The sequence below is a fragment of the Homo sapiens genome, chromosome 1, assembly GCF_000001405.40.
Source record: "Homo sapiens chromosome 1, GRCh38.p14 Primary Assembly".
Lineage (NCBI taxonomy): Eukaryota > Metazoa > Chordata > Mammalia > Primates > Hominidae > Homo > Homo sapiens.
In genome coordinates, this window is record NC_000001.11 from 240,547,787 (window position 1) to 240,573,368 (window position 25,582).

Consider the following 25,582-nt stretch of genomic DNA (forward strand, 5'->3'; position numbering starts at 1 on the left):
AACTAAATCTCTCCACTTAATATATGTGTTAAAAACCACCCAGAAGAGGAAGTCAGGCACAAGCAGAGAAAATGCTGACTAGCCAGCTATTGAATAAGTAAGTAAATGCATGAGAGAATACTAAATATGTTATCTGATGGGAGAAGAAAGAGAAAGGAAGGTAGGAGTGATAAATCAGTGTAAAGAAAGACGCGGCTGGGCATGGTGGCTCACACCTGTAATCCCAACGGTTTGGGAGGCCAAGGTGGGTGGATCATCTGAGCTCAGGAGTTCGAGACCAACCTGGTCAACATGGTGAAACCCCATCTCAACTAAAAATTTAAAAAAAAAAAAAAAAAATTAGCCAGGCGTGGTGGTATGTGCCTGTAATCCCAGCTACTCGGGAGGCTGAGGCAGGAGAATCACTTGAACTCAGGAAGCGGAGATTGCAGTGAGCCAAGATTGTGCCACTGCACTCCAGCCTGGGCTATAGAGTGAGACTCTGTCTCAGAAAAATAATATAATAATAATTAAATAAATAAATAAAAGGCAAAGAAATAGGATCTTGGCTGCTCAATCTTACAAGACTCTAAAATTTTCTTCTTAAACAACTCCCCATGTCTTTTCCAATTCTTCAGATTTCTTAGTCAACCATATTCCTTAGAACTTTTGCACATAGTCCTCTTATCATACTTAAGTATATATTGTATTACATTTGTGCAGAAAGACTTTGTTCAAAATCTTTAGGTTTGGGTTGATGGAACAATGATGTTTTCAATTATATCTATAAAGTATAAACTGGTTTTGGCTAAAAATATATGAGTCCAGTTTAAGATGTTGACAGTCTGAAGTAACCACAGGACTTTTAGTAAGAGGTATCTAATTGCAGATAAAGATAAAGAGTGAGTTCGAGACTAAAGATTTGGGAAAGGTGTTCTTTAGAGCCATGAAAAGAGATGAAATTCCTGAGGGAGAAATAAAAGGGAAGTGAGGGAGGCTGTGAATAATGAATGCTCAGGTTGAAGGAAAGAATGAAGGAGAAAAAAGGAAAACGAACAACCTTGGTTAGAAAGAAAACTTGACGGTAAAAAGAGAACTAGGTCCATGTAGAAGCCTAGAAACTAAATAAAGAAACGGATTTTAGGAGAAGCTACTGAGTAATCCAGAAGAATAATGACTGAACAAAAGATCTCTGGGTTTGACATTTAAGAGGTCATTGGTAACCACTGAAAACAGATCCAGTCAAGGAAGCACCCAAAGTCAGATCAGACTGTTAAGAAGTAAAGCAAGGCTAGGCTCGGTGGATCATGCCTGTAATCCAGCACTTTGGGAGGCCAAGGCGGGTGGATCACCTGAGGTCGGGAGTTCAAAACCAGCCCGGCCAACATGGAGAAACCCCATCTCTACTAAAAATACAAAAATTAGCCAGGTGTGGTGGCACATGCCTCTAATCCCAGCTATTCGAGAGGCCGAGGCAGGAGAATTGCTTGAACCTGGGAGGCGGAGGTTGCGGTGAGCCAAGATCACACCATTACACTCTAGCCTGGGCAACAAGAGAGAAACTCCATCTCAAAAAAAAAAAAAAGAAAAGAAAGAAAGCAAAAAGTGTGCAGATAGAGAACAGGAGTAGGGTAAAAATAATACATCAACTAATTGGTTAACCTAAAAAGAGATAAATCCCAGCAGAGCTAAGGAAAGGGACTTTTTGTTTTTAGATAGAAGGTTTGAGCAGATTTACAAGGTAAAACCCAATACAGAATCAAATATTAAAGACACAACAAAAAAACCGGTGCATCTGAAAGTGTAGAATTTAAAAGAAGGTGGGGTTCCACAGAACTGAGACATCTGGAAAGGCCTTGGTCTTGGAGAAGAGGAGCTACAGCTTCTTCTCTGAGATAACACTGAAGAATGAGAGATCCCTGAAGCTACGGTGATGTGCTTGGAGACAGTGAGAAAGATGTGGCTCTGTGTCACACAGAGTTGGCAAGGCAGAAAGGGGAAGGTACAGATCTCCATGTATGAAAAGCAGTGTGGCCATCAGGAGTGGAATCACCTAGAACAGACTCTGTAGGCAAGATAAGGAATGATTAAGGGATGAATTAGAGCCATGAGGTGGGGCATAGACTGTTCAGCCGGTTCCGGCACCTGCTTCTACCATGGATGAGGCAAATAGGAGTAGAAAGGATGGAGGAAGAAGTCAAAAGCTTCTATTATTTATTCGAGGGAATGCCATGTCAGGGGCACCGATTGTTTTTATTTATTTTATTTTTTTTAAGACGGAGTTTCGCTCTTGTTGCCCAGACTGGAGTGCAATGGCGGGATCTCTGCTCACCACAATCTCCCGCCTCCCGGGTTCAAGCGATTCCCCTGCCATAGCCTCCCAAGTAGCTGGGATTACAAGCATGGGCCACCATGCCCGGCCAATTTTGTATTTTTAGTGGAGACGGAGTTTCTCCATGTTGGTAAGGCTGGTCTCAAACTCCCCACCTCAGGTGATCCACCCGCCTCGGCCTCCCAAAGTGCTGGGATTACAGGTGTGAGCCACCGCGCCCAGCCAGGGGCACTGATTACTAGGGGAACTAGCCATTTGCCGAAACCCCCAATTAACTCAGGCGGATTTACAGATTAATGATTTGTTAAAACAAACAAACAAACAAACAAACAAACTCCTGGCACAATGTCCTGCTTTTCTCCAACAATGCTCAGAAGACTCAGTGAATGTGAGTGTGACCCAGGATGGAGGATAGCATAACAAAAGGTAAAATGATCAGATTCTGTGCCGGGGTACTTGGGGAGTAGTGGGGAAACTGAATAGGACACAATGTAGCATCAGTTGTTTTGCATTAAAAATGACAGGTGGAAATAGAACTCTACTAAGTATCTTCAGTAGTCAATTTAGACTCTGATTTTTTGCTTTATAATGACATTTCCTTTTCTATATTCACATTGGCTACTGAGCTGTTGAGACAGTCTGAAAAGATGTAAATATTTTTGTTACAAGTTGACTAATTCAAAATGTCTTTCATTGAATATTGCTATTACGAATGATCAAAAGCAAATATTGTGCTGACATATCCAATCAAATGGACATTGTCAAACATCCTCAGCCTACATCCTTTAAAATACACCCTTCGTTATTTAGACAGATTGCAATTACTGTAGCAAAATCATGAAGACCAGTTAGGATGGAAACTTGGAATTAAAAGGAATAATTTTGAAAAAAGAATCTTTTATGGCCTAAAAGAACTCATTTAAAGTTTTCTATCCTGGGCTAAATATCTCTGGATGTTCTTAAATTTGATTTATACTGTTTTATTCTGAAATTGAGCTGGTTTCTCATCTTCCCCATGCTTTCTGTGGAGCTGATCCAAGCACAGAGTCTACTTGAGTACTGAAATAGCCTCTGCACTTGGATCTTCTCCATGAGGGTTCAAAGTAAGATGAAACACTGGTTCTTGGGAATGGAATGACTGTGGATCTCAAAGCCCTGACATCTGAAAACAAAAATTGATTTGCATGGAAACTGAGTTCAGTGAAAACTACGCATTTTCAGTATAATAGGTTTACCTTGTGTTTTTTTTTGTTTTGTTTTTATTTTTTTGAGATGGAGTCTTGCTCTGTCACCCAGGCTGATGTGCAATGGCGCAATCTCGGCCCACTGCAACTTTCGCCTCCTGGGTTCAAGCAGTTCTCCTGCCTCAGCCTCCTGAGTAGCTGGGACTACAGGCACATGCCACCACACTGGGCTAATTTTTGTATTTGTAGTAGAGACGGGGTTTCACATGTTGGCCAGGCTGGTCTCTAACTCCTGACCTTGGCCTCCCAAAGTGCCGAGACTTCAGGCATGAGCCACCATGCCTGGTCTAGTTTACTTTTTTTTTTTTTAGTTTACCTATTTTCTAAATGAACTATTGAATGAGGTACACTTAAAATGTAAGCACAAATAAGAATGAAAAACCTCACAGAAATAAGATCTTCTGTTTATTTTCTTTCTTTTTGCCTTCTTAAATGCTGAGGCTGGCTTTCAGTGAGGATATTGAGGACAAAAATGTGTTGAATTAATGGAGAAGGGAGGAGGAACCTCAGAAAGTCATAGTTTCTTCAAGAAAGAAGGGATCCTAGAGATTATGCCAACCTTCCTTACAAATTTTATAGAAAGGGAGTGTAAATTCTGCAAATAAGAGGGTGTATCTAAGATTACACCTAATTTTAGTGAATAGCCCAGGACTATGAAGCCAACATTCTCCATTGAACCACAGTGTCTCTCATAAATTTCTCTTACTCTACATACTTCATATACTGGATGACCTTCCATAGAGAACACAGATTTTTCTTGTAGCAGTAATATTACGATCCTTGGGTATAAGTGATGGTGAGATGATACCAAATTCAGTCCTCTGCCTTCAGTAATCAGCTAAATCAAAGACACTCAACTAAAGGAATTTCTTATTGTTTTCTTTGAAAGTCATATCCAGTTTTTAGGGAGCTTTCATTTTCTAAAAAACACATTTCCCTATATAGAAAGACAGTTTTGGCTGGGCACGGAGGCTTGTGCCTGTAATCCCAGTGCTTTGGGAGGCTGAGGTGGGGGGGTCGCTTAAGGCCAGGAGTTTGAGACCAGCCTGGACAACATAGAGTGATGTGGTCTGTACAAAAAAATTAAAAAGTAAACAAGTAAAAATTAGCCAGCCATGGTGGTATATGCTACAGTCCTAGCTGCTTGGGAAGCTGAGATGGGAGGACCGCCTGAGCCCAAGAGTTTGAGATTACAGCGAGCTGTGATCGGGCCACTGCACTCCAGCAGAGCAAGACCCTATCTCTAAAATCGTTTTAAATTGAAAGGCAGTTTTTGCTGGAGCAAGAAAAGCTTTAGGGCAGGTGTCAGGAGATCTGGTCTTGCAGACCTGCTGTCTAGAGGCGAATGCAAGACTCAGCCTTTCTGAACCTCAGATTCATTAGGTATAAATGCAGAATGATAATGTCCTTCTAACCGATTTTGGTGCGGGGATGCATCTTAGAAGATGCTGTACTTGAAAGTTTTTGAAACATGCTGTAAGGTGATAAAACATTAAAACATTCTTTCTAATTATTAAGCTCTTCTTCTCTTGTGTAGTGTTCCATAAATATTAAGAGTAGTTGATCACATCTTAAATATCTGAAGGCTCTTAATCTCATTTTAAGCCTTTCATCCCCTTTCTTTTACATTACTTGCCTGAAGTACCAGGAAAATATCTTTTTAAGAAAGGAATTCAGTGGTATTTCTGGCAGAAACTCTGTATTGGAAATTGTATATGGCAAACTGATCTCAGCATGCTTTGATCAGGGACATCAGAATTCTATCAGAAATCACGAAGACTTTGAAAGAAAACCCAGAATTAAAAGTGAGACAGCTGGTCTTTTCAGACATCGGGTGAAGCTATGCAAAGTCAACGGGTTTTATCGAGAGCGTTAGCATGAGCAGAAGAAAGGTATTTCCAGCCTTATCATTCTATTGCTTACAAGGGGAAGCTAGTCTGAGTGTGGAAAGCTAAGCTATTCTCTGATTCTCTTGCATTTGAGCTATGTTCAGTTTTCAAGATCATAGGGCAAATAATACATGCAATTTTTATTGCCATTTCCTCACTCCCTAAGAGTCAAGTTATACAAATTTCTTTTGATATCCTCACTCATGGTCCCTACATACTCATCAATTGTCAGATGCGTAAAAATCTCAACTCAGCATGAAATATGGATGTTGACACAATATGACAGGTCTCCACATTTAATTAGGCACAAAATCCCATTAACAATCATAGAGAAGCTCACACACTTTAAACAGTTAACACTTCATGTTTAATGCAGTGTGAGGTCTTAAGCTTGCCATGGCTTATTTATATAACGAACACTTCTGAGACCAATTGAAATGAAACATACATGGAGAAATATAATGAAATCCTGTGCATGCATGTATAAATAATCCAAAGCAGAATTCATATTCCTCAATGGATAACATCTGAACTCTTATCTTTACAGACTTTGGTTATCTTAATTCTCCTCATAAAGTTCCATGGAAAATACTCCACACTTCTTATGGAGAATGAGAATCTGATTTAGAATACACAGACCAAGAATAAAAAAGTGAAGGTGAAAAGTAAATCCTAGGTATGTATGAATGAAATCTCTAGTCAAGAGTGAGCAATCAGCTGTGAGTGGTTGAGGGGCTTGTTGGCATTCTGTGACCTCAGCAAAGCCTCTAGCTTCTGGGGTTGCTTGGATCATCAACTCCGGACTTGGATGCTACCTGCATTAGGGTATTGCCTTCCACTCTGCATCATTCTGTTTTCCTCTTTTATTATTTATTTATTAGTAAAGACGAGGTCTCTAGGCCAGTTGTGGTGGCTCACACCTGTAATCCCAGCACTTTGGGAGGCCGAGGCAGGCAGATCACCTGAGCTCAGGAGTTAGAGACCAGCCTGGCCAACATGGTGAAGCCCCATCTCTACTAAAAATACAAAAATTAGCCGGGTGTGGTAGCGGGAGCCGGTAATCCCAGCTACTCGGGAGGCTGAGGCACGAGAATAGCTTGAACCTGGGAGGTAGAGGTTGCAGTGAGCTGAGACCCCGCCACTGCACTCCAGCCTGGGTGACAAGAAAGAAACTCCGTCTCGAAAAAAAAAAAAAAAGATGAGGTCTCACTATGTTGCCCAAATAGTCCTAGAAATAATATGTATATACATATTTTTTGGTGGAGCCTACATTATTTGGTTGTAATAACTGTAGCTTCCAAACCCAGTTGAATTTATCCAAGTAAGCAATGTTTTTTCATAAGTAGGTGTTGACATGAACAAACACATTTTCACAGGCAGAGTACCAGCAATTATTAAATCGTTATTTTAAAATTGTGATTTTTACATTGTCACAAAATAAACAGAACTGAGATTAAATTTCACAATTTGCACAATGGTTTTCATGTATGCTTAACAGTTTTTATCTCATTCCAATAATTACAACATGTTTTCCTTCTTTGGAATTTCAGTTGGCATTTCTTGTGCCTTTTCCTCTACTTCTCCCCATTAGTTATGCTAATGTTAAGATTCTATTGTAATTTAAGAATTGTGGGTGGGTGCGGTGGCTCACGCCTGTAATTCCAGCACTTTGGGAGGTTGAGGCGGGAGGATCACCTGAGCTTAGGAGTTCGAGACCAGCCTGGCCAACATGGTGAAACCCTGTCTCTATTAAAAATACCAAAAATTAGCAGGGCATAGTGGCAGATGCCTGTAATCCCAGCTACTCAGGAGGCTGAGACAAGAGAATCACTTGAACCCGGGAGGCATGGGTTGCAGTGAGCTGAGATCGTACCATTGGACTCCAGCCTGGGCAACAAGAGAGAAACTCCATCTCAAAAAAAAGAAAGAAAGAAAGAAAGAAAGAAAAAAGAATTGTGACCATATTCTGGGAGGCCTTATTTTGTAATATTGAAGAATGAAGGGTTGGGGGCAGTTTAAGTCCTGCTTTTATTACTGACTAATTAAATGACCTTGAGGAAGTTATTCTGCCTCCTTGGCTTTGGTTTTGACATCTGTAATGCTGGATTGCTGTGAGGGTTGAATATAGTTAATATGCATAAAACATTTAGCACAGGGCCTGGCACAAAGCATAAGGCCAAAAAGCATTAGCTACGATTATTGGCAATGTGGAAATGAATGAGTAGATTTGGTTTCTAAAATTGGTGTAAATAATTCAAATATTTGTAAAAAAGTAAAAATGTTTAGGACAAAGTCAGAGCCAAATCAGATACAATGAAAGTATAGCAGTGTTCGGTGTGCCCTCTTGCTGTCTCTGAAGATCAAAATGAAAATTGTGCATTAACTAGTACTGAGTGTTCACACTGGGGAATGCTGGTATCGTGCATATTTTGGATGTAGATGATACAGTTAAGAGAAATTTATCAGAGATCAAGAGATAAGTGAAAAATGTACCTTCAATAATTTGAGAGTTTAAAAAATTTGTACTGGAAAGATATTTAAAGTATGTTATCCATTAGCCACTCACCCCAGCTATCCTTGGAGAATAGCATGATTGCAAACAGATGCAAAAACTGCAGTCAATTCATAATTCCCACAGAGTAGGCAGATTTTAATTGCCAGGATATTTTAGTCACCTTTGATTTAATAGCCTTTGGCTCTTATTTTCCCTTTTGAATTTATTTTTCTAAGGTATGACAAAAATTAGCTTTCCAACACCTCTTTACAGGTTTTAAGAGTTTCTAGTAGAGCATATCCTAATAATGTGTACTCAATAAATACTGAAAATAATGAGAGATTGATGTTAGCCATCATTTATTATCAAACTCCATTTCTCTCTGTTATTAGATTCCAATACCCTCAAGTAGCTTTATAAAGAATATTCACTTACGCCGGGCACAGTGGAACACAGGACACCAGTTAAAAGGGAGGCCATGTGCTAAGGTAATTGAGCAAATGTTCGAAGAGTGAAATCCCCAGACTTCCTCCCCAGCTCAGCCCCCAGAACTCTGCAGCTAGGCAGAGGATGAGCCTTCTTTGGGAAATCTATTAGCACCATCAGGGAATAAAAAGGCCTAATGATACTGGCTTTGGAGCCTTCCAAATAAAGAGCCAAATTAGATCACTCTGCAGTGCATTCCACAATCAGGAAGTCTACTTATTAGTCTTGCCCTTCAAGTAAGTTTTTGAGTGCTCTAATTTTGAATACAACCCACAAACTACCAGGCATCAATCAGCAAAACATCTGAGGAAATCCTCTAAGATTAGAGACAAAGCCCCAAGCAAGCTAACCAAAAGGCAAAACAACTAAAAGAAAAGAGAAATATTGAGGCAGAAAAAAACTTCAAAATCTCATAAGAGATAAGAAAGGCATTATTCCTACGAGAAAAAAGAAGACGATACTAAGAAAGCATTATTCAGAGAATAAGAAACAGCGCTTTGAAATTAAAAAATAAAACAGCAAGGAATAAAAAATGACAGAAATTGGAAGATAAACTTGAAGAAATCTCCACAAACTAAAAACAAAATGACAAAAATGCAAAACAGGAGAAAAATGCTTTTTTTAAAAGTAAGGGACCACTGCGAAAGGTCGAATATCTGATTAAAAGAATCATGGGATGTCTGGGCGTGGTGGCTCAGGCTGTAATCCTAGCACTTTGGGAGGCCAAGGTGGGTGGATTGCCTGAGCTCAGAAGTTCGAGACCAGCCTGGATAACATGGTGAAACCCCGTCTCTACTAAAACACAAAAAATTAGCCGGGTGTGGCGGTGTGCCCCTGTAGTCACAGCTACTCAGGAGGCTGAGGTAGGAGAATTGCTTGACCCCAGGAGGCAGAGGTTGCAGTGAGCCAAGATCACACCACTGCACTCCAGCCTGGGTGACAGTAAGACTCTGTCTCCATAAAAAAAAAACATAAAATAAATATAAAAATTAAGATAAAATAAAATACATAAAAAATAAATAAAACGAATCACGGGAAGAGAGACCTGAGAAACCAGCAGGGAAGAAATCATTAAACAAAATAATTAAGGAAAATGTTTAGGCGCTGAAGAATTCACCAATATCCAGACAGTAAACTGAAATACATTCCCAAAGCACACTAATTTTCAGTAGTGTGGTCAAGGAGAAGAACCCAAAATTCTCCTGAAAAAGAAAACAACCACCAAAATAGTTTTTGTACAAAGAACCAAGAATGAAAACAGCATTGGTCCTCTCAACAGCCATCCTGAAAGCAGAAGACTACAGAGCAAGGACTTTAAATTTCTGAAGTAAAATGATTTTCAAATGGAAATTATCTTCCAAATAATGAATCTATTTTTTTGTTTATTCATTTACAATCTATTAATCCATATATTTTTAGGCATATACATTTTGGGAAGTTTAATCTTCCATGTACCCTTTTTGGGGAAGCTACTAGAGTGTGTCTCATCAAACTAAGGAAAAAAACAAAAAAGAGAAGGACAAGGGGTCAGCAACAGAGGGTGAGTCCTGGTGAAGAGATCCAAGATGGCTACCACCGAGCTGCCTGGAGAGCAACCACCCAGACAGGGTGACTACCTCAGCAAGATGAAAATAAGAGAACAGCTAATGTGATTACAATATCACCAGCAGATTATGCAGGTAAAGAAAAGTTTGAGGCTGAAAAAAAGGTAAGTAGAAAGAAAATGAAAATTACTAATCTAGAGAAAACAAAACAAATGAGAAAGAAAAATTGCTAACTGTGCAACATGGTTTTATTGTGAATCATGCATACATATATAATAATGTATGCAGTTAAATTTTATCTAATTGAAATGTTGGTTTGGGGAGAATGAGGAAATGAGGAGTGTTTGGACAAGGAGAGGGCTGGTTTAGGGACCAGGAAGTGAAAGGAGCTCAATTCTCATCTTCCACGTGGGGAGTGAGTAGATAGCATGCTAACGATTGGAAAATTAAGACTTCATAACATAAGTGTGTTATGGAAAGAGATAGAGGAAGATAACCGAAGAATCAGCTGGAAACTTTGATAGTAATTGCCTTTGGGGGCTGAAAATTTGAGGGTGGTTTGGCAGCTGAGAGAGATCCAATTTCTTTGTCAAGTTCTGTAGAAAATTTGCCTCAAAACTATGCGAAAACAATTTTGATGAATTTTTTTTAAATATTGAAAAGAAAAAAGCCTGCAAAGCATATATGACATTGAAATTAATTAATTAAATTAATGGAAAAATGAAATTAAATAAATAGAATGGAAAGGGAAATACATGACATAAAAATGGCAGACGGAGGAAGCTTAGCAAGTTCTGAGTAATAGCTGCACCCTGATAATTAGTGAGCTTCACTGATTTCTATTAATCAGAGGGTAAAAGGAGCACCTGAAATGTGGGAAAAGCCTTCCCTGGACGCCCTGTGATTGGTTAGACCAGCAGTTCTCAAACTTGTTGGTGTCAGAATCCATTTTGCCCTTAAAAAATTGATAAGAACCTCAGAGAACTTTAGTTTCTGTTGGTTATATCTATCATATTGGGAATGAAAACTGAAAACAATTTTAAATATTTATTTATTTATTTTAAAATAATGATAATAAACTCATTACCTGTTTTATGAAAAGAAACTATATTTCCCAAAACAACAAAAATATAAGTAAGAAGAGTAGTATTTTTTCTTTTACCTTTTGGCAGATCTCTTACATCTGGATTCCCCTCGCTGTCTCTGTATTTAACCTGTTGTGTTGTTATTTTGGTTGAAGTATACAAAGAAAATGTGGCCTCCCACATACAGATTATGATTGTCCCTTTCTACGTAATTATTGTGGGTATTCTTTGTTAGTATACCAAAATTTGACATAAAAAAGTTTTTTAAGGGTTAGTTAAAATGTGACATTTCAAACTATATTAATGAATTTCTCGAACTCTGTTACATTGAAATTCATTGGTCTACAGTGCACTTGGATCTTTTACTTAAGCATGATTTTATAACCTCATACATTGGCTTAATGAATTGTGCAGATGTACAGTATGTTGACACATCTATTGTACAATACATACTTTTTAAAAATCGGTCATTAGTATCACCGCCAATCTCATCAAAAAGTCTTTTTTTTTTTTTTTTTTTTTGAGACAGAGTCTTGCTCTGTCACCCAGTGTGGAGGACAATGGAGAAATCTTGGCTCATTGCAACATTTGCCTCCTGGGTTCAAGAAATTCTCCTGCCTCAGCCTCCCAAGTAGTTGGGATTACAAGCACCCGCCATCAGGTCCGGCTAATTTTTGTATTTTTAGTAGAGATGGGATTTCGCCATGTTGACCAGGCTGGTCTTGAACTCCTGACCTTAGGTGATCCACCCATCTCGGCCTCCCAAAGTCCTGGGATTACAGGCCTAAGCCACTGCGCCTGGCCAAAAAGTCTTTAAGTATTTACAAGCTGACAAATTACTGGTGGCAAATAAATATTTCCAAAATTCTAGTGTTTTCCTAAAAAGTTAAATTTTTTTATTTGCAAATACTGTCAGTTGCGTTTCTCAAAGTGATAGCTTCATTTTGTTAAATTTTGAGAACATTTCTCCCAAATGCTCATATTGGACTAACTGTAGTCTGGCATTTTAATTAAAATGTTCTGTGAAACATGGTGTTCAGTGGTGCCTCGATATGTTCAACTCAAACAATGGCACAGGCGCCTTTATCTTGAAACAGTCACGGTGTTTCCGTGTGCAGCAGAAGTGCTTTATGCAGTGAGTCACAGGAAGTATCAAAAAGACATCTGAGTCCCTGGAGCACGCCTGTGGTCCCAGCTACTTAAGAGGCTGAAGAGGTGGGAGCATCCCTTGAGTCCAAGAGTTCAAGACCAGCCTAGGCAACACAGTGAGACTTCACCTCATTTATTATTATTATTAAAAAGAGACATCTACTCAAAGGTTAAAATTTAATATGGTTAAGAATTTTTACCGCTGTATGGAGAACGTTCTTAAGTGAAATTGGCAATTTTTGTTTCTGCCATTGCCTGACAAAAGAATATGACAACCAGTGCAGTTGGGTGATACTGCCGCCATGGGTGCTCAGGTGCCAGCAGTTGTACCCACCCCTGCTTTTGTGCTATCAGGGTTTATGGCAAAATCATGACCTTGAGGACACCCAGAAAACGTCTCAGGTCTCAGGTCAGAAAATGTCTTCTGGGCTACACTGTAAGCTCCTTGAGAGAGTGGATTGATTCTCACTTTTTGTTTCTTTAGGACTGTGTTTAGCACATCATAGGTGGTCAAAAAGTATATGAACTGAACCAAACTGAATGAAGAGGACAGTTAAGTGAAACAGTTATTTGAGTGGGGAAGACAGTGGGTAAATTAATGGAAAAACAAGGCAAGAGGTGAACCCTCGAGAAACAAATTAAAATTTCTTTATTGAATCTGATCTTATTGGGTTTACTATTTTCTTCTAACCCTCTTGCTTCCAATCCTCTTTCCCCTAACTGACACCATAATGGCTTACAGAATGAAATAGCATAAAGCCCAGCCTTGTATTCAAGCTTTTCTCATCTAGCTAAAGGCAGTGTCTCTAGCCGTACCTTCTCCTCCCTGATCCCAAATTAATCATCTGGCTCCTTATAAATATCTGGTGATCCACTCTGCCCACAAGTCACATACTTTCACTATTTCACAGCCGCTCTTTTTTTCTCCTTGCCTTTAACATCCACCTAAAATGCAAACATTTCCATGATGTAACTCCTGGTGACCCAACCCCTAGTGATATATCCCATTTCTGGCCAACTATTTAAGAAAGTTTAGGTCACACGACTTAAGAAATAGATAAGCATCAATTGCTTGCTAATTGATTAAGGTGAGATAATCTTATTTTTCTGGATTTCAAGTTCCTAGAGTGTGGAAATTTTTTTTCAAGGTGAAACTAAGAGGTAAGGAGACAGGTTCTACTTGTGGTTTGTGAACCACTAAGTACTATATAATCTGTCATCATTTATTTTTCTTGCATACCCCATAGTGTTTAGTATGGCACAGTCTCAGTGGAAGTCTTTAATAAATACTTGTGGATTAATTGAATGCAGAAAGCTAGGGTTATTTGGGAGAAAGATCACCCACAAGGGAGTTAAAAGACGTGAAGGATTTTGTGTGGTAAGTTTGAACAGAGCGAAGCCAAATAAACTTTGCCGAATTCCAATTTGTCCCATTAATTTCCACTACATTTTATTTGCCCAACCTAACAGTCCCAAGCAAAACGTGGAAATCTAATAGGGAATTCAGTTAAAAAGAAGAAGACCTTTTGGTTCCATAAATAAGCTACTTCATATTACAGAGCTCTTTTAAGAATAATAAAATTAAATATTCCCAGAATCAATCATTTTAATGCCTCGATAAGAGGCTTTCATGGAAAGAATTATTTGAGACCTTTGCTGAAAACTTAGGGAATTTTGTCATTAGTCACACAAAATAATCCTGCATACACACACACACACACACACACACACACACACAAACTGCCATAGGAACTGTGAAATGGAAATATCTATTGTCTACTTATTATTTGCCAGATATATGGATAATATTTATTTAATCCTCCCAACAAATCTCCACCAGAGGTATTATTTCTATTTAGAGAAAAAGTAACTGATACTTAGAATAAGAAGCTTTTCCAAAATTACAGAATCTTCAAATTGAGGGTTCAGCGTTGGGAACTACTGTCATCTGAATCTGAAAGCCATACTCTTTCCTTTTCACCTTGTAAACCACTTCTTGTTTCAACAAGATGTCAAATAAGTAGGCTGATGAAGAATTGACTAATTAAATGTATTATAATAATCACAAGCTACTATGTGAATATTAAATAAAATACCATGCTTCTTCTGGCTACTTCAAAGATTCTTTACACAAAGGGGAAAAAAATGAAACATTTTCGGGATGAAGTGTGTGCTTGGGGTGACAGTGGTTATTTGGAGGGCAGATGATGCAATTGCCTGCTTGTTGCTGACTCAGAAATGTAGAGAAATGGTCAATATAAACAGATGGCCCCAGGGCTCCTTTCCTTTTGTGAACTGTATGACCCTGATTCAACAAATCTACAGTCGTGGCACTGGATGCCCTTTTACTAAAGTCCTTTTACCTTGTCAGCCTAGCAAAATGACTGAAATTAAAAACTGACAGGGTCACTTGTGAACTTTACTAGCAGTCCCGCCTCTGAGCCATTTTGTGCTCTCAGCGGTTACGATTCTTACACTAACAGGTGGTGTCAGAAATCAAAACCTAATCCTCCAGGGGCTGCCTTGGTGTTCAGTTTCACCTTTCACCGAAGGTGTAATCCACGCCATTAGTTTAATATTTCTTTGTGGGAAAGACACCAAGAAACACCATCTTGGAGAATGTCCTGGGATTTCCAATATCTCCAGAGGAAATTATATTTGACATAGGCTTTTCTCTTTAGCATTTACTATATAGAAATGTGGGGCACTACAGGATTGCCGTGTGTGTGTGTGTGTGTATGTGTGTATATATGTGTGCACGCATATGTGTGTATGTATATGTGTGTGTATGAGTGTGTATGTGTGTATGTGAGTGTGTATGTGTGTATTGTGTACACGTGAGTGTGTGTATATGAGTGTGTATGTGTGTATGTGTATATGTGAGTGTGTATGTGTGTATGAGTGTGTATGTGTGTATGTATGTCTGTGAGTGTATGTGTATGTGTGTGAGTGTGTGAGTGTGTATGTGTGTGAGTGTGTGTATGTGTGTATATGTAAGTGTGTATGTGTGTATATGTGAGTGTATGTGTGTATGTGTGTATATGAGTGTGTATGTGTGTATGTGTATAGTGAGTGTGTATGTGTGTATATGTGAGTGTGTGTATGCGTGTATGTGTGTATGTGTGTATATGTGAGTGTGTATGTGTATGTGTGTGTGTGAGTGTGTATGTGTGTACGTGTGAGTGTGTGTATGTGTACGTGTGTGAGTGTGTGTAAGTGAGTGTGTGTTTGAGTGTGCGTGAGAGTGTGTGTGTATGCACAGGAACATATTTGTTTTTAATTTAGTGTCTCTTTACAAACGCGCTGCAGTGTTCTAAAAAAAATATGAAGACTTGTGACCAGAGAATGCAATGCTCCTCAGGCTAGGTTCATGGTGGATGGACTTCTCTCTGTTTGTTACTGCGTATGGAAGGGCAAGAAGTAAGTTAGCAAAAATTGCTGTATGAATACATTCTGTAACATAATGGCATAGCAAATTGATTTAGACAAGAACAGAATAGCTGAGGATGGAAAAAATGTTCCGTGCCCAGCTATTAATCCAGGCATGGGATAGGGTTGCTACCTTTTGTCTGAGATTCCCAGGATGTTTAGTCAACGGCACCCATCCATGGGAACCTTAGGCGGTCTCTATAGCAACTGTTTAGGTGGTCAGTGACTGAGTCAGTGGATGGAGCTAAGAGGTCCAGGTAGACCTGGGATCCTGGGCATTTTGTAAATCTCTGTGCTAGCAGGACCACATATCTAGATGACATTTCTAGTCCATCTCCCCATTTTTCACCCACTTGTTTCCTTTAACCTTCCTTTTTATGTTCCTGGTTAAATAAAACCTATAGGTAGACATGTACCCAATGGCCTTTGAACTTTCTCTGTTTAGGGATGTATTAAAGGCAAGATCCCCATGAGTGCCCAATGTTGAGGTTTTTTAAAGTTACTTGTTTAGACCTGGCCTGGTGGCTCACACCTGTGATCTCAACACTTTGGGAGACCAAAGTGGAAGGATCACTTGAGCCCAGGAGTTCAAGGCCAGCCTGGGCAATATAGTGAGACCCTACCTCTACAAAAAATTAAAAATTGGCTGGGTATGGTGGTGCACACCTGTAGTAACAGCTACTCTGGAGGCTGAGGCAGGAGGATCGCTTGACCCAGAACGTGAAGGCTGCAATGAGCTGTAACTGTGCCACTGCACTCCAGCCTGGGGGACATAGTGAAACCCTGTCTCAAAAATAAATAAATAGGGCTGGGTGTGGTGGCTCACGCCTGTAATCCCAGCATTTTGGGACGCTGAGGCAGGTAGATCACTTGAAGTCAGGAGTTTGAGACCAGCCTGGGCAACATGGCTGAAACCCCATCTCTACCAAAAAATACAAAAATTAGCCAGGTGCAGTCACATGCGCCTGTAGTCCCAACTACTTGGGAGGCTGAAGCAGGAGGATCACTTGAGCCTGGGAGATGGAGGTTGCAATGAGCCAAGATTGTGCCACTGTACTCCAGCCTGGGTGACACAGCAAGACCCTGTCTCAAAAAAAAAAAAAATTAAAATAAATAAATAAATAATAAAGTTACTTGTTTGAAGAGAGATGATGATTTTAAGTTGTGTCAGTCTGTACTTCCATGAAGTCTCCTCCCTTCTTTTTCTCATAGGTGGGGTTAGGAGAAAGCTAATGAAGCATTACCTCAGGGACCCCAGGGCCTGACAATATATGCACGAGGTCATATGGTTCTGTAACACCTGCAAAGGCAAGGTATATTAACTGCAATAGATTAATATTGAATGTCTTTCCATTCCCATTTGCCTTCCTGCACAGTTTTCCTTGCATCAGGTGGCACTGGTGTGGCCATAGACATATTTTGTACTTTTCGTCTCAGGGAGACTTGAGTTGGAGCTACGTTTTCTTTGGGTTGAGTATGATGTATTGATGTGGTTTATAGTTGCTTTTGAGGGTAACTCAGCCTTCCAGGACTGGAACCCTTTCAGGAATACTGTGTTGACTTCCTTTTTGTCAGAGTTACATATTTGAAATTTGGTATTGTGTTCCTTAAGGGAAACCTTCAAATTCTATACATTTTAGGTTCCAGCAAACCTGGATCTACTCTTGGATTTGTTTTGTGTCTCTGGTATTTACCTATGTTAATATTTTATTTTACATGGATAGGGGATACCTTATTGTTGAATGTGTGATTGTGGGGTTTGGAGATTAGCTTTATGGCACTTTCTATCATTATTACACCTTTTCTTTTAGGTCAGGACAAAGTTCTATTCAAAAGTTATGCATGGTTGTATACTATAATGTCATATCTTCACTTATGAAATGGTAACATCAAATTAGCAATATGAATCATTAAAATTGAGAGCACTCTCAATTTGCCAAAATTTGACTGTAACATTTTATCAATGTATTTCATAAATTGAAGTGAGGAAGGCTTCAGATAATAATATTTTACAAATGGTTTTGTAGGCTATGTTTTTATCAACTCCAATAAGTATCATCAATTAAAGCAATGTTTTAGGGAATTCATACCTTTACTTTGGTCTGTTGGGTACGATCATTCCAAATAAGTATTTAAGAAGTGATTCCCAACCAGCCCGGTGGCTCATGCCTGTAATACTAGCACTTTAGGAGGCCGAGGTGGGCAGACTGCCTGAGCTCAGGACGAGATCAGCCTGGGTAACATGATGAAACCCCATCTCTACCAAAAAATACAAAAAATTAGCTGAGTGTGGTGGTGAGTGCCTGTAGTCCCAGCTACTCTGGAGGCTAAGGCAGGAGAATTGCTTGAACCTGGGAGGCAGAGGTTGGAGTGAGCCAAGATCGCACCACTGCACTCCAGCCTGGGTGACAGAGTGAGACTCTGTCTCCAAAAAAAAAAAAAAAACAAAACAAAACAGTTATTCAGTTATTCCTATTTATTGTATCTTCCATAAACTCAATTATTTTACAGTTTAGGGTACAGTCATCCTTAACTAAGAAAAGAGACCCCTGCATGGTCATGTAAAATTTTTTTGCAGGGGTTTGCATTACGGTCACAGGCAAACACTAAATCATTTAACCTCTGAGCTTTTGTGTTTTTCTTTGAAACCAGGGGTCTTTATTTCTCCCATGTGATATTTGTACCATTAAGCTTTAAATTACTGTTTAAAATGCTGAGACATATAAATATATAAAGTTTTTCAAAAGAAAATGTAGACTAGTTTTAAAATAGGTTACAAATTAAATTGAGGACTTCTGTTTCTGGCCAAAGTGGAGTAAAGGGACTTAATTTATGCTCTTGCCTGAAACAGTTAAAACCAATGCCAATACCCAGGCTAAACCAGAACAAACCAGACAAAATATTTGAAACCATGGCTTGCAAGACACCAAACACCAAGCAAGAACAATGATCTCTGGAAGATGGAAAATAAAGTGAACCTTATGATCGCCCCCAGCTTACTGCTTTGAGAGAGTTTCTAGGTTGCACTGCAGGGAGGGGAAACTGAGGTGGAGCCTGACAAACCTCTGAGTTGAGGAGATGAAACCGACTCTGGGGAGATCGAGGTAACTGGAGTTCTCAGGACAGAATTTGTGAGATGAGAGAGAGGTGCAGTGATCTTCAGAAAGCCTTCCTCTGGGATTCGGCTGAATCTGATCAAAGAATGTATGTGAGGAAACTATTCAAGGCCAGGAAGAGAATTAATCAAATGGATTAGAGACCTTGAAAGATCAAAATATTTTCAGGTAATGTCACTGCTCCCCAGAACAAAACTCAAGAATATTTACAGGATTACAAAAATATCCAGTACCCAGCAGGGTCAAATTCACAATATCTGGCATTCGATCACAGATTACCAGGCATGCAAAACAAAAACAAACAAATAAAAACAAAACAAAACAAAAACCCAGGAAAGTATGAACCATAGTGAAGAGACAAAGCAATCAACTGAAATGAAATAAGAATGGACACAAATGATAAAATTGGCAGAGCACTACATTGAAAAGTCATTATAATGATATTCCATATATTCAGAAAGTTGAGACATGGAAAATATAAAAAGTCTCAAACTTCTAAAGATGAAAACTACAATAGCTGAGATTAAAAATACGCTGGATAGGATTAATAAAATTATGTATTGCAAATGAAAAGTTTAATAAAGTTGAAGACATAGCAACAGAAGCTATTTAAAAAGAAACACAGAGAAAAATAATTTTAAAAAATACAAAGATCATCAGTGAGATGTGGGATAACTTCACGTGGTCTAATATATGTATAACTGAAATCCCCAAAGGTATAGGAGAAGAAGAATAATTGAAAAAACAATAGCCTACTATTTCCAAATTTGGTAAAAATTATAAACCAACAGATCCAAGAATCCCAATGAACCTCAAACACAAGAAAACTGAAACAAATCACATCAAGGAACACCATAATTGAATTAATCAAAATCAGCAACAAAAAATAAATCATGAAAGTAGCAAGATTAAAAAAACACATTATATACAGAGTAACAAAGAAAAAAGTGCATTACTCTTTGGAAAAAATTACAATGGAATAATGTCTTTAAAGTATTGAAAGCAAAAACCCGATAAACCTAGAATTCAATATTCAACAAAATGATTTTTCTAGAAATATATATTCAGATATACAAAATCTGAAAGAATTCATCAATAGTAGACTCACATAATAAGAAATGTTAAAGGAAATCCTTCAAGTCTAAAGGAAATGATATTAGGTAAAAATGTGCACCTGTACAGAGGGATGTAGAGCAACAGAAATGGTAACAAGTGAGTAAATATAGAAGACTTTTTTCTTATCATTTGAATTGCTTTAAAAGATAACTGACTATTTAAATAAAAATAAAAGCAGGCCAACTGCATTGGCTCAAGCCTGTAATCCCAGCACTTTGGGAGGTTGAGGCAGGCAGATCACTTGAGGCCAGGAGTTTGAGACCAGCCTGGCCAACATGGTAAAACCCTGTCTCTACTAAAAATACAAAAATTAGCCAGATGTGGTGGAGTGTGCCTATAATCCCAGCTACTTGGCAGGCTGAGGCATGAGAACCACTTGAACTTGGGAGGTGGAGGTTGCAGTGAGCTGTGATCACACCACTGCACTCCAGCCTGGGTGACAGAGTGAGACCCTGTCTCAAAAAATAAAAATAAAAATAACGTATTGTAGCATTTATAACATATATATAAATACAATATATGACAATAATCACATAAATGCCAGAAGGGATGAAATGAAAGTATACTTTTTTAGGGCTCTTACGTTATGTATAGAGTTGTATACTATTGCTTGAAGGTAGTCTGTAATAAGTTTAAAATATGCACTATAAATTCTAAAGCAAAGACTAAAACAATAACAAACAGTTATAGCAATATGCCAACAAAGGAGATACATTGGATTCATAAAAAATTTATCAATCCAAAGAAGACAGAAAATGAAGTAAAGTGGAACAAAGAAGCGACTGGAAAAATATGAAGCAAATTGTAGGATAATAGACTTATACCTAACTATATCAATAATCACATTAAATTTAAATGGCCTAAACAGCTCCTTAAAAGAAAGATCTTTCTAGATTGGATTAAAAAAAGTATATGCCATCTATAATAAGTATACTCTGAATATAAAAACTAAAATAGGTTAAAAGTAAACAGATGAAAAACAGTATACCATGCTAACACTAATCAAAGAAAACTAGAGAGGCACCTAGCCTTTCTTTCTTGATTGAAAGAAAGCTAGATGAAGAATTAACACATTGTCTGTATTCTCAAATGAACGACATAATTGTCTATGCAGAAAATCTAATGGAATTTATAAAAAGATACTAGAAGTAACATATAAATTTAGCAAGGTTGCAGGATAAAAGGTCAATATATAAACATAATTGTACTTTCATATACTAGGAACAAACATTTGGAAATAAAAATTTAAAAAGCAGCCAGGCACAGTAGCTCACACCTGTAATCCCAGCTAATTGGGAGGCTGAGGTAGGAGGATTGCTTGAACCCAGAAGTTTGAGGCTGCAGTGAACTAGGATTGTGCCTCTTCTGCACTCCAGCCTGGGTGACGGAGTGAAATCTCTTGAATTAAAAAAACAAAAACAAACAAACAAAAAATTACTTAACAATTACAACAGAAACATGGAACACTTTGGAAGAAAACTAGAAAACTGACAAAAGATGTACAAATGCGTACATTAAAAACTACAGAATATTGCTGAGAGAAATTAAAGAAGACTTAAATCAATGGAGACAGACATATCTTGTTCATGAGCTGAAACACTCAGGATTATTAAGATACCAGTTCTCGCCAGATGGATCTACTGATTTGATTCAATTTCAGTAAAAATTCCAGCAGTTTTTTGGAGATATTTACAAGATGATTCTAAAATTCATATGAAAATAAATGTAGAATAGCCAAAAACTATTTTGAAAAAGAATAACAAAGTTGAAAGACTAACACTGCCTGATTTCAAAACTTCTTATAAGGCTACTATAATCAAGAAAGTGTTTAATTAGTGTCAAGATATATAAATTAATCAAAGAAAAAGAATAGTTTGCCCAGAAGTAGAACTACACATACGTAGACAACTAATTTTTGACAAAGATGTAAAGGCAATTTGTTAGAGAACGGATATATAGCCAACAAATAGTATTGGAACAGCTGGCTATCCATAGATGGGGAAAAAAATATGAACTTTGATCCATACCTTACACCACATACAAAAATTTACTCATGATGGGTAACAGATACAAATGTAAAACTTATAAAACTCACATAAGAAAAAGAAAGGAAAGGTTTGCGACCCTGTGTTAGGAGATTTCTTATATATGACACCCAAAGCACAAACTATGAAAGAAAAAATTGATAAATTAGACTTCATCAAAATTTATAGCAATGTGAAAACAGACTAATACACATAGTTTATTGTATGCCAATTATACTTCACTAAAATTTTTTTAATTGCATTAGAAACTTATGTTGATTCTGTATTGGGCTGTTGTTTGCCTCCTGCTGGATTTTTGGCAGTTACATTGATGTCCAATCTGCTATGTTTTTACAGTTCAGTTGAAAATATCTTCTATTCTGTGGATGCTTTAAGTGGTTGATATATAAACAGAGACACTTATTCGATTTTCATAGACATTGAAATGTTTTTACTGGAAAGCTAGGTTGTTGGGTCCATGCTATTGTCTTTTTAAAACTAAATTAACAGATGGGTGCAGTGGCTCATGCCTGTAATCCCAGCACTTTGGGAGGCTGAGGCGGGCAGATCACGAGATCAAGAGACCAAGACCATCCTGGCCAACATGGTGAAACCCTGTCTCCACTAAAAATTCAAAAATTAGCCAGGCATGGTGGCGCGTGCCTGTAGTCCCAGCTACTCGGGGGGCTGAGGCAAGATAATTGCTTGAACCCAGGAGGTGGAGGTTGCAGTGAGCCAAGATCGCACCACTGCACTCCTGCCTGGTGACAAAGCAAGACTCTCTCAAAAACAAAAAACAAAAAAACCCACCAAATTAAGCAGAATATGGAAGGTTTGTGAACAAGTTTCAGAAAGTTGAGGAAACTAGCAAAAAACCAGTATGCCCCCTTTTAATAAAAAGACTGAAACACTTACTGTCCACATATGACAATGTTCCTATGTAGACAATAAGAGAACCAATCAAATTGTGTTTTACACAGGCGGTCTTTAAAGTGAGAAGGGAACTCATTTGGTACAGACAATCCTGTTTTACAATTTCACTACTTTGTTCATTACCCCCAATAAAGTCATTCCAAAAATGATGGTATCATGCAAATAAGATCCAAGTATCAGGTATTTATAGGCCATGTCATGAATACTTTTACCATCACATACAATATTTGATTCCTTTCTCTCTTTTTACATTAATGATCACTGTACTGAGCTTAGTGCTGCTTACCTTGTGGGCTGGAATGGACAGAGACTGACTCTGTGACTTAGGCAGGAACAGTGCATACAGGAGAAAACTGGCATATCCAGGTTAAATACCTACATATTGAAATCACATAATATTTCAACATTTGGAACACTTTAAAATGATCTTTGATAGGAATGATTTTGAAATTGAACTAGTATGTCTATAACATAAACAACCAGACACATTTTTCATCTCAAATTCATGCGAATAGTTTTTCTACTTCATGTAAAAAAACTTCCAATTTTATTCCGTAATATTCTAACTATATTCAACTTAAAAAAGAACATTCCCTACCACAGGCAGAATCAACTGGTAGAAATAACACCAGTCACTAATAGGAAGTCTATACATCTAGGTTTATTCTAAAAGACTGAATGACCTTGAACAGGTTTCATTATCTGTAAAACAAGAAAGGTTTGAATTGGCCAATTTCTAAGATTCCTCTAAAATAATTCTTTTTCTGTAGAGTAGTTCTGATTGGGACTACTCTATAGAAAAAGAAGCTGGGCACGGTGGCTCACGCCTGTAATCCCAGCACTTTGGGAGGCCGAGGTGGGTGGATCACCTGAGGTCAGGAGTTCGAGACCAGCCTGGCCAACATGGTGAAACCCCATCTCTATTAAAAATACAGAAAAATTAGCCGGGCATGGTGGCAGGTGCCTGTAATCCCAGCTACTCAGGAGGCTGAGGCAGGAGAATCTCTTTTGTACCCGGGAGGCAGAGGTTGCAGTGAGCCAAGATGGCACCATTGCACTCCAGCCTGGGCAAGAAGAGTGAAACTCCATCGCAAAAAAAGAAAAAGAAAAAGAAAAGAAAAAGATTTGGGTCAATTTCTTATCTGGCATGTATGGTAATTCTTGCCTTATGATAAACTTTTCAGGGGTGCTTAGTGGACCTTCAAATGCCATTACCAGTCACTTCCCAGCATTCAAATTGAGGAATTTGAAACTGCTGATTTTGTTTGAGCACCAAGGAAATAAAGAAGCCAAACGCCAGAGCTGGGCTGTCCATCAATTCTCCCATTTCGGAGACATTCTGACTGCCAGGACCAGCCACCTACGTCAGCATGACCACTTGGAATTGGCCAATTCCAGCAGGGAGTTTGATTACACCCACAGGGCCTCATGAGGATTTTGGCACCTTTTGATCCAAGACGTAATTGACACTGAACGAATGATAAATAAGCATCTTCTTCCCTTTCTCTTGTTGTCTTCTCCAGCTTCAATTACAACTAGAATATTTCTACAGATTTATTAGGTCAAAGGAAGCCCAGCATTTTTTTTATATTAAAAAGATGTGTTCGTGTCTGAATATTCGGACAAATCCTTTACATTGCCCATGGGTTGCAGAAGGATTTTAGTGATAGCTAATCATGGAATCAAATTTAATCCACTGGTGTGTTCCCTTCATTTTAATCACCTCTAAAGTGATATTGTAAGCCTGTATTCCTGGAACAAAAATGAAAGTAGTTGTCATTACTTGACAGATAAAACATAGAATGACTTTTCTAAGCCTTACTTGTTTGCATTCTATGAAATTAGACAAACCACTGGTAACTCAAATTACTTTAGAGAGTACGAAGTCTTCCCCATCTGCTGACAAATTATGTCCCTATGTCAACAGAGGGAAAACACTCCCTGTAACTAGTCCATTTTGTCCCCTGCTGGACTTGAAGCTAATGATTATAGGGAGTTAAAACCAAACTATTTTCTTCCAGTTGTGAGATACACATCTCCCACAATTCTTGTTCCTTATAGATAATGCTCTAGCTTTCTTAGTGGATTGGTTGTTTGGGAAACCACCAGTTCAAAAATTGTGATGGAACTGACTAAATATTTCAGTCAAGCAGTTGACTGAAGTAGCTAGTGGTTGAATTTCCATTGGATTAAGCACTTGTTTTAACTACTTGTCAGTAAGGAATATGCAGAGAGAGGGATGCTGAAAAGGGATGATCACTGTGATAATGCAGCCAAAACTAACTCTCAACTGGCTTTATAGGTAAAATAAAATGTTTTCCTTACCTGAATAATAAACTCTTTAATTTTAAAGTAGAATTATTCATTGGCCTGTGGAATTAAAACTATCAAAATAATGCTAAATAGAGCTGAGACTGGAATGATGCAAAGTGAGGCAGTTGGCTTCCACTCAAATTTTAAGTGAGAGCAAAAAGTACTCAGTAATTAAGATAAATAATACTAATAAAATATTTTTAAAAGAAACAGCAAATCAATTTGAAAAAAAAAATCACGATGAATAAAACATCAAAACTGGGCCAGGTGCAGTAGCTCATGCCTGTAATCCCAGCACTCTGGGAGGCCAAAGAGGGAGGATCACTCGAGCTCAGGACTTAAGACCAGTCTGGGCAACAAATGAGACCTCGTCTCTATTTTTTTTTCAACTATTAAAAACATAAAATAAAAAACATCACAATCGTAAATAAGGACAGAATCAGTATTAC

At 38.3% G+C, this 25,582-nt stretch overlaps 1 protein-coding gene and 1 long non-coding RNA gene across 5 annotated transcripts in view; one reads left to right on the forward strand and one right to left on the reverse strand.

Annotated features, from left to right (window-relative positions):
- GREM2 (gremlin 2, DAN family BMP antagonist) overlaps nt 1–25,582 on the reverse strand; it is a 122,583-nt gene that overhangs the window by 58,214 nt on the left and 38,787 nt on the right. Inside the window, exon 2 of one of the 4 annotated variants that reach the window (XM_047427839.1) lies at nt 23,107–23,195. The exons of the other annotated variants lie outside the window; for them this stretch is intronic. The gene's annotated coding sequence lies outside the window, so the exon portion shown is untranslated. The remainder of the gene's footprint in view (nt 1–23,106; nt 23,196–25,582) is intronic. 4 annotated transcript variants of the gene reach the window in all.
- On the forward strand, nt 6,063–24,085 carry LOC124904600 (uncharacterized). Its single transcript, XR_007067050.1, has 3 exons — nt 6,063–6,120; nt 8,331–8,426; nt 24,005–24,085. It is a non-coding gene; the product is annotated as an uncharacterized LOC124904600 (long non-coding RNA).